Source organism: Homo sapiens, chromosome X, assembly GCF_000001405.40.
Source record: "Homo sapiens chromosome X, GRCh38.p14 Primary Assembly".
NCBI lineage: Eukaryota > Metazoa > Chordata > Mammalia > Primates > Hominidae > Homo > Homo sapiens.
In genome coordinates, this window is record NC_000023.11 from 1,879,031 (window position 1) to 1,888,960 (window position 9,930).

At 46.1% G+C, this 9,930-nt stretch overlaps 1 long non-coding RNA gene across 1 annotated transcript, besides 1 other annotated feature; it reads right to left on the reverse strand.

Moving 5' to 3' along the window:
- Positions 1 to 484: 484 nt before the first annotated feature.
- On the reverse strand, positions 485 to 6,797 carry LOC107985677 (uncharacterized). The gene is made up of 6 exons (XR_007068381.1): positions 6,459 to 6,797; positions 5,483 to 6,082; positions 4,767 to 5,082; positions 3,309 to 3,435; positions 2,706 to 2,819; positions 485 to 1,543 (listed from the first exon to the last, which is right to left on the reverse strand). It is a non-coding gene; the product is annotated as an uncharacterized LOC107985677 (long non-coding RNA).
- Positions 8,601 to 9,388: an enhancer, noted in NCBI's record as "H3K27ac hESC enhancer chrY:1956524-1957311 (GRCh37/hg19 assembly coordinates)". NCBI's record gives its function as "activates a minimal SCP1, AML or CMV promoter by ChIP-STARR-seq in primed H9 embryonic stem cells {active_cell/tissue: H9 hESC(primed)}" and the evidence as "EXISTENCE:reporter gene assay evidence [ECO:0000049][PMID:30033119]".

Here is a 9,930-nt window from a genome sequence, read left to right on the forward strand (position 1 = left end):
ACAGTTCCACATGGCTGAGGAGGCCTCACAGTCATGGTGGAAGGAGAAAGGCACATCTTACACGGTGGCAGGCAGAAGACAATGAGAGCCCAGTGAAAGCAGTTTCCCCTGATAAAACCATCAGATCTCATGAGACTTATTCACGACCTCCAGGACAGTCTGGGGGAAACCAGCCCCATGATTCATTTATCTCCCACCCAGTCCCTCCCACAACACATGGGAATCATGGGAGCTACAATTCAAGATGAGATTTGGGTGGGGACACCACAACACATGGGAATCATGGGAGATGCAATTCAAGATGAGATTTGGTTGGGGACACCACAATACATGGGAATCATGGGAGATACAATTCAAGATGAGATTTGGTTGGGGACACCACAATACATGGGAATCATGGGAGATACAATTCAAGATGAGATTTGGTTGGGGACACCACAATACATGGGAATCATGGGAGATACAATTCAAGATGAGATTTGAGTAGGGACACAGCCAAATCATATTAGAGTATAATTGGATTGTTTGTAACACAAAGGATAAATGCTTGAGGGCATGCAAGCTCCATTCTCCATGATGTGATTATGAAGCATTGCATGCTTGTATCAAAACATCCTCTCTGCACGGTGCATTGAACATGAATTATGCCATGTTGACTGTGTGTGATATCTGATGTATACAAAAACGGAGGTCAAGGCCCAAACACTGGGAGCACCAATGTCCAAGAGCATGAGAAGCTGGAGGTCCCGGTTCCAGGTAAGGAAAAGAGAATATAGTCTCCCTTCATCTGCATTTTCATTCTCTGCAAATCCCTCAGTGGAGAGGACAGTACCCATCCCCATTGGTGAGGGTGGTCTTTACTCAGTCTACCTATTGAAATGCTCATCTCTTCCCAAAACACCCTCGCAGACACACCCAGTCTGGGTGTGAAAAATGGGAGTTGAACAATGAGAACACATGGACACAGGGAGGGGAACATCACACACCAGGGCCTGCCGGGGGGTGGGGGGATAGGGGAGGGAGAGCATTAGGAGAAATACCTAATGTAGATGACAGGTTGATGGGTGCAGCAAACCACCATGGCACATGTATACCTGTGTAACAAACCTGCACGTTTTGCCCATGTACCCCAGAACTTAAAGCATAATAATAATAATAATAAAATCTCACGCACCCTAAATATATACACCTACTATATATCCACACAACATATACATAAATATATACACCTACCATGTACCCACAAAAGATAAAAATTTTAAAACACAAAGAGAAAGGAAACAGTGAAAATCAACAGACAGAGGTAAGAGACAACCTCCTATTCAGTGTTGCCGTGGTTCAGTAGAAAAATCCGTCTCACTTCAGGGCTGGAGAGACCCTCAGGGTCATCCATCATAGCCCACGGAGGTGCCATAAAAAATAATACTCAGGGATCTTCATCTTCAATAAATAAAGACTCTCTTTACCTTTCCGAGGTTGTAAAGAATCTTCAATGGACCGTGCCTTTCTCTTGGAAGTATCTTGGGTCTTCGCTGTCGAATTCCTAGGTCACGGAAGAAATTGTGTGAAAGGTAGAAGGTAAATTTTATTCTGGAATATAGGGTCCAGGAAAGGGGCTGGGGGCCTCATGAATCATCTGAAATTAGGTGCAAAACTTTGCACGTATGAGTATGTCTGCACCATGTCTAGATGGAGGGTTCTGAGCTTTCATCACATGTGGAAAGAGGTCTCAGAAAGCAAGCAAGAAAGAAAGCAAGCAAGAGTGAAAGAGGGGGTAGGGAGGGAAGGAGGAGGATGGGGGAGGAGCGAAAGAAACAGAAAGAAAGAAGGGAAAAAGAAAGAAAAAGAAGAAAGAAGGAAGGAAAGAAAGAAAGAAAGCAAGAAAGAAAGAAAGAGAAAAGAAAAGAAAGAAAGGAAGGAGGGAAGGAGGGAAGGAGGGAAAGAAGGAAGGAAAGAAGGAAAGAAGGAAGGAAGAGACAAAAGAAAAAAGGAAGGAAGGTAAAGAAAAAGAGAAAAGGAAAGAAGGAAGGAAAAGAGGAAACAAAAAAGGAAGGAAGGAAAGAAGGAAAAGCAAAAGAGGAAGGAAAAGAAAAGGAAGGAAGGAAAGAAAAGGAAAAGAGGGAAGGAAGGAAGAGAGGAAACATAAAAGGAAGGAAGGAAAGAAGGAAAAGAAAAAGAGGGAAGGAAGGAAAAGAGGAAACATAAAAGGAAGGAAGGAAAGAAGGAAAATAAGAGGAAGGAAGGAAGGAAAGAAGGAGTGAAGGAGGGAGGGAGGGAAGGAGGAAGGGAGGGAAGGAAGGAAGGAAGGAGCGAGAGAAGGAAGGAAGGAGCGAGAGAAGGAAGGAAGGACAGAGCAAGAGAAGGAAGGAAGGAGCGAGAGAAGGAAGGAAGGACAGAGCAAGAGAAGGAAGGAAGGAGCGAGAGAAGGAAGGAAGGAGCGAGAGAAGGAAGGAAGGACAGAGCAAGAGAAGGAAGGAAGGAGCGAGAGAAGGAAGGAAGGAGCGAGAGAAGGAAGGAAGGACAGAGCAAGAGAAGGAAGGAAGGAGCGAGAGAAGGAAGGAAGGAATGAAGGAATGAAGGAAGGAAGGAAGGAAGGGAGGCAAGGAGGGAAGGGAAGGGAAGGAAGGGATGGCGAAAGAAACAGAGAAATAAAAAGAAAGAGAAAATTTGAGGCTTCATAGAGAAGCAAGGGACTCTTGTCTGACCTTGGACCATGGGCTGATGTAAATATGGCTTCTCCCTTTCTTTCTCACAGGCAAATACGGCTGATTTCCCAGATGTTAGATTCCACTTCGGATTAAGGGCTGTTTCCTAGTAGCCTGTTGTGAAAATACAATCCACAGAGTGTAAATGAGCAAATTTTTAGAGTTTTCCTAAAGATCCCTACTTGTTATTTTACTAACAACTCCTGCTCCAAAGCACTGCTTGGCGAATCTCATGAAGTTCAGCTGGATCTGAAAGCAACTGAAATTCCCACAGTTTGGGGAAAAGGGGCTGTTATCAGGGCGTTGTGGGTTTCGTACATAGTCGGGATAGATGCAATTATGGCATCCCGATTACTTGTTATCCATTACAGTTAGTTCAGCATCGTGACTAACGATTGATTTAGTGTTCAGTATGGTATTTGGTTAGCAACACTGTGTGCAGTAAGTTGTAAATACTGCTTTCAGCATGATTTGGGCTAAAAGGATGTAGTCACTGTTTTCCAATTCAAATACAAATCACAAAAATGTGACCTCAGCATGGTGTTGATTTTTGAGAGGATACTTGTCCGAATATATTCCATTGACTGTTGTTTGTGCCTTTACCTTTTTTTTTTTTGAGGTGGAGTTTCCCTCTTGTTGCCCAGGCTGGAGTACGGTGGCGCCATCCTGGCTCACTGCAACCTCTGCCTCCCGGGTTCAAGCCATTCTCCTGCCTCAGCCGCCCGAGTAGCTGGAATTACAGGCATGCACTACCACAGCTGGCTAATTTTTTTGTCTCAAAAAAATATAATAATTATTAGGGAATTGTTTATTCTGTAATATTATTATTTATGTAAGTAATTTGTGAACATATCCAACTTTGAAATGTGTAATATTATATAAAGTTAAGCACCTCTTTTTTTGTCACCAGACAATGTCGTCATTCAGTAGGAAATGCTATTTTGAGATGTGTGTGCATGTGTGTGCGTGTGTACACACACAGTTTGTACACATAGATGTGTATACACTCAAACTGCGCATATGATATGTGTGTCTACAAATACATATTACTAACTCTATACGTCTGTATATATTTTTCTGTACATGTGAGACATATATAACATATATAATTATTAATAAGTGCTTATAGCAACATAGATTGCTTTTGTAAGTTTTGTAGATAAATTGTATCATATGGAGTATTTCGCAACTTGAATTATTTTTACTCCATAATATATTTGCAATCTCAATACGTTGAACAAGTTGACCTGGTTGATTCTGTGGTTCTTCACACATTTCTGTTTAATGATGGTACAGGGAATTGAACACTGACCTCTTACATCATCCTCAAACAGTTTTACTTTTACTGTTGTAGAATACATTGTTGCAAGCTTTTCTCCCTAAACACTCTTGCACCACACACGAATGTTACTTCATTGGCAGGATGTTGACTAGTTCTTGCCCGATATTTCCATTTCTTTTCTTTTTTTTTTTTTTTTTGAGAGAGAGTCTCGCTCTGTCACCCAGGCTGGAGTGCAGTGGTGCAATCTCAGCTCACTGCAACCTTCGCCTCCCGGGTTCAAGCAATTCTCCTGCCTCAGCCTCCCGAGTAGCTGGGATTACAGGCACCCACCACCATGCCTGGCTAATTTTTGTATTTTTAGTAGAGACGGGGTTTCACCATGTTGGCCAGGATGGTCTCGATCTCCTGATCTCAGGTGATCTGTCCACCTCGGCCTCTCAAAGTACTGGGATTCCAGGCGTGAGCCACCGTGCCTGGCCTCTTGTTTTGTTTTTAATTAGTTTGTGTGATTTTGTTTTACATGCATATCATGTAAACAGAATACAATCAGTCTTTTTTAAAAATATCTTCTCAGCATCATCAATTTAATTCTATTTTTCTTTATTAATCATCAGTACACCTGTGATCCCAGCTACTCAAAAGGCTGAGGCAGGAGAATCGCTTGAACCCAGGAGGTGAAGATTGCAGTGACCCAAGATGGAGCCACTGCACTCCAGCCTGGGTGACAGAGCGAGATTCCATCTCAAAACAAAAGAAAGCACGCTATTGATCTCACTTACCCCACAGAACAGTCCTGACTTCCTTCCTAGCTGCAGGAGGGAAATTGTGGAGAGCAGCCGTCTCCCATCCTTGGAGCTGTTTCCCTAAGTAAATCATGAGGCCACTTTTGCAGGAAATCCACACGCTGCCGGGAAGAGCTGATACAACTAAATTGAGAAAGCTCTTGGCTTCTGGTGACTCACAGCTGACTGACTGTTCCTTCCCCCTGAGCAATGAAGGTGAGTGCGGTGGGTGCTGTCCCGCTGGAATCACACAGTAGTGTCTGCCAGACACAGAGATGGAAGGGCGGATTGCTTCAGGAGCTTCCTGGGGTTCCTGCAAAAAAATGCCATAAATTCGGTGGCTAACACTACAAGAATCTATGCTCTCCCAGTCCTGGAAGCTGGTAGTCTCAGATCAAGGTATCTCAAGGACATGCTCCCTCCAGAGACTCTAGGGGAGGGTCCTTTCTGCCTCTGCCAGCTCCTGGGGGCTCCAGGTGTCCCTGGGCTTGTGGGTGCGTCACTTTAGTCTCTGCCTCTGTCTCCACATGGCCTTCTCCTCTGTGTCTGTCTCCTTTCTGTCTCTTAGAAGGACATCTGTCATTGATTTAGGGACCACACAGATAATTCAGGATGATCTCATCTTAAGGTCCTTTATTTAGTTACATCTGCAAACACCCCTTTTTCAAATAAGGTCTCAGTCACAGATTCTGAGGATCAGGACATGGACATACCTTTTTGGGGGATCACAGTTCAATCTACTTCACTTGTATCCAGTTCCCTCCAGAGGCTCTCAGGGAGGGTCCTTCCTGCCTCTCCCAGCTCCTGGGGGCTCCAGGTGTCCCTGTGCTTGTGGCCACATCACTCCAGTCTCTGCCTCCATCTCCATGCGGCCTTACCCTCTGTGTCTGTTCTCCTCCTCTGTCTGTTATAGAGACAGCAATGATTGGATTCATGGTCCATCTAATGCAGGATGATCTCATCTTAAAATATTTTACTACTTGCATCTGCAAGGATCTTATTTCAAAGTAAGCTCCCATTCACAAGTTCTGGGGGTGAGGGTGTGGACATATCTTTCTGGTGGACAATAGTTGAATTCATTACAATTTCATTTAGCCTTCTCTAGAGGCTCTAGGGGAGGGTCCTTCCTGCCTCTCCCAGCTCCTGGGGGCTCCAGGCATCCCTGGGCTTGTGGCCGCATCACTCCAGTCTCTGCCTCCGTCTCCATGTGGCCTCATCCTCTGTGTCTCCTCTTCTGTCTTTTAGAAGGACATCTGTCGTTGTATTTAGGACCCACCCTAATCCAGGATGATCTCATCTTAAGTTAGTTTCACCTGCAAAAAAAAAAAAAAAATTGTTTCCAAACAGGGTTTCACTCGTAGGTACTGGGACTCAGGATTTGCACCCCTTCTGTTTGCCACGATCCTTTATCTCTTCAGCATCCAGCAGCCTGCTGCACACTGCTGTGGACTAATAAAGGCATGAGGGAGACGATCGGAGAAAGAGAATACGGCAGAAGTGTGAGTCAGACTCCGGGGGCGATGGAACGGTGGAGATGCAGAAATGCAAATTTGCAAATTCGTGTACCCATTTGCTTTGCCCTGGAGCCCAGCGCAGAGCTGGGGAAGGCAGCTCCGCGGAAGGCAGAGCCCTGCTCTGCCTGGGGTGAGCTCATGGAAGCATTCCAGAAAACAGTGATTAGGCACCTACTGTGTATCAGGCACCATGGAGGTCCTCAGAACGCAAGAGTGAGCCAAGTGCGTCCACAGGCTGAGAAGGTAGATGATGGCAAAGGGCGTCAACACCTCTGGGCTGGGGACAGGCTTAAAATTGGGGAAGAGACTCAGGGGGCCTTGAGCATCATCTGGTATCACACAGGCACCCTAGAGAGAGAAGGTGAGTTGGAGATGTTTCTCATTTAGAAAAATAAACTGAGGTCTCTCGGCCAGCACGCATTTAATTTTACATAAACATGTTCCATCATAAATCTAACTGATTTTCAACATGAACGTAAAATATAAAACCTGCTCTAGGATTTATTTCTAAAAAGACGTTACATCAGAATCGCCTGAATCATCAGACTCATCTGGTTTGGAAAAATTGGATTCATCCAACAAACCTTCAGCCAACAACTGTTGTAGAACGATGTTAATATCACATGCGGCAATGATATGTTTTCTAGGATTCGACATTTTCAGCGATCGAGAATGATTATATTTCAAATGGAAATACCACTATTAAGACAGAATGGTATAAATAGGATGACGTCTTCCGTTTCCAAAGTTGACATATTAGAATGATGAGAAAATAATCATAAAAATGAGATACTGAGGCTGAGCACGGTGGTCATCCCAGCACTTTGGGAAGCCGAGGTGGACGGATCACCTGAGGTCAGGAGTTCAAGACCAGCCTGGCCAAGACGGTGAAACCCCATCTCTACTAAAAATACAAAAATTAGCCCGACGTGGTGGCGGGCGCCTGTAATCCCAGCTACTCGGAAGGCTGAGGCAGGTGAATTGCTTGAACCCAGGAGGCGGAGGTTGCAGTGAGCCGAGATCACAACCATTGCACTCCAGCCTGGGTGACAGAGCGAGGATCCATCTCAAAAAAAACAAAAGATACGTGTGGCAGTGTTATCTCAGAGTAAATGCTGCTGCCACAAGTACAGCCCGTGAGTATTCTCGGGGCAAACAGGAAGAGGGTTGAAGCTAGAGAGACACTCGCTCTTCCCACCACCTCTTAATGTCCTATTTGTGCTTCAAGGACACTCGGTCCCTTGTTGTTATATCCATAAATCCCTTCTCCTCCCAGCCCAGCAGTGAGGGCCCCATTGCCCATTACCTATCTATAGGGAACCAGCCCTGCAGGCATGCAGAGACCCCTGAGACAGTCTTCCTCATGTCCCCTCATCATAGCCCCAAAAGCTAACACCCAGGGATGGGCTGTAACCCGCTTGAGGTTAGAAGGTCACTGACGTTACAGGAGTCCGCACTGACACCCAGGGGCCCTGACTCCTGGCACGCTGGATATTGTTGAGAGGCAGAGGCTGCTCTGGGACACACCTGTTCTTACCTGGTCCCCAGGATCCGGGTCTTTTGAACAGGGCTGCTTTGCACGATACCCTCAGGTACCTGCCTCCCAGGGCTCTGTCCTTCTCAGATGGCTCAGGGCTGTGGTTCCTGGGAAAAGCTTCGGGATGAGGTTTCCTGCCATGTTTCCCCATGGGTCAGAATAATGTCATATTGATTGTGGAAATCAGCAGCACTGCTTACTTTTTTTTTTTTTTTCAGGCGGAGTCTCGCTCTGTCACCGAGGCTGGAGTGCAGTGGTGCAATCTCTGCTCACTGCAACCTCTGCCTCCTGGGTTCAAGTGATTCTCCTGACTCAGCCTCCCGAGTAGCTGGGACTATGGGCTCCCACCACCACGGCCAGATAATTTTTGTATTTTTAGTAGAAATGGGGTTTTGCCAAGTTGGCCAGGCTGGTCTCGAACTGCTGACCTCAGGTGATCCGCCCACCCCAGCTAATTTTTGTATTTTTAGTAGACACGGGGTTTCACCATGTTGGCCAGGCTGGTCTCGAACTCCTGACCTCGTGATCCGCCCGCCTTGGCCTCCCAAAGTGCTGGAATTACAGGCTTGAGCCACCGCACCTGTCCTAGGTATGTTCGTTTAACAATACCGTAGGGTATACTTAAATATTTGTTAGGCTCAATTCCTGGTGGCTTAGTCATTCTGCCCTGGGGATTGTCCTTGCTTCACACTGGTTCCAGAAACTCCTCACGGCCCCCACAATGAATTCCTGGTGGCTTAGTCATTCTGCCCTGGGGATTGTCCTTGCTTCACACTGGTTCCAGAAACTTCTCACCGTCCCCACAATGAATTCCTGGTGGCTTAGTCATTCTGCCCTGGGGATTGTCCTTGCTTCACACTGGTTCCAGAAACTTCTCACCGTCCCCACAATGAATTCCTGGTGGCTTAGTCATTCTGCCCTGGGGATTGTCCTTGCTTCACACTGGTTCCAGAAACTTCTCATCACCCCCACAATGAATTCCTGGTGGCTTAGTCATTCTGCCCTGGGGATTGTCCTTGCTTCACACTGGTTCCAGAAACTCCTCACGGCCCCCACAATGAATTCCTGGTGGCTTAGTCATTCTGCCCTGGGGATTGTCCTTGCTTCACACTGGTTCCAGAAACTTCTCACCGTCCCCACAATGAATTCCTGGTGGCTTAGTCATTCTGCCCTGGGGATTGTCCTTGCTTCACACTGGTTCCAGAAACTTCTCATCACCCCCACAATGAATTCCTGGTGGCTTAGTCATTCTGCCCTGGGGATTGTCCTTGCTTCACACTGGTTCCAGAAACTTCTCACCGTCCCCACAATGAATTCCTGGTGGCTTAGTCATTCTGCCCTGGGGATTGTCCTTGCTTCACACTGGTTCCAGAAACTTCTCATCACCCCCACAATGAATTCCTGGTGGCTTAGTCATTCTGCCCTGGGGATTGTCCTTGCTTCACACTGGTTCCAGAAACTTCTCATCACCCCCACAATGAATTCCTGGTGGCTTAGTCATTCTGCCCTGGGGATTGTCCTTGCTTCACACTGGTTCCAGAAACTTCTCACCGTCCCCACAATGAATTCCTGGTGGCTTAGTCATTCTGCCCTGGGGATTGTCCTTGCTTCACGCTGGTTCCAGAAACTTCTCATCGTCCCCACAAAGGGAGCAGATTACGTACAGCACGTGGTGGTTGACTCCGCAATGACACTCAGGTTTAGACGAATGAGGACAGCTTATCTCCTTATCGTCCCACTCCTCACTCCGGTTATCTGTACCCTTCTGTCTTTATATCCAGCTTTGCCTGTGCTGAGAAGCAGCCTCTCAAGGCCAGAAGTAAGAATAGTCTGATTCTGACTTGCTGACAAATTGCTGGTTCTTGGAATTGTGTGGCAGGTGTATTTGCCAAACCACTTACAAAAAAAAGTTAGGGTGGATTTTATGTTATGTGATTTTTACCACATTAATAATAATTATTAATAAAGCCTTTAGTGACTTCCTTATAAATCTCCCTTTTTTTTTTTTTTTTTTTTTTAAGACAGAGTCTCACTCTGTCACCCAGGCTGGAGTGCAGTGGCACAATATCGGCTCACTGCAAGCTCCGCCTCCCAGGTTCACGCCATTCTC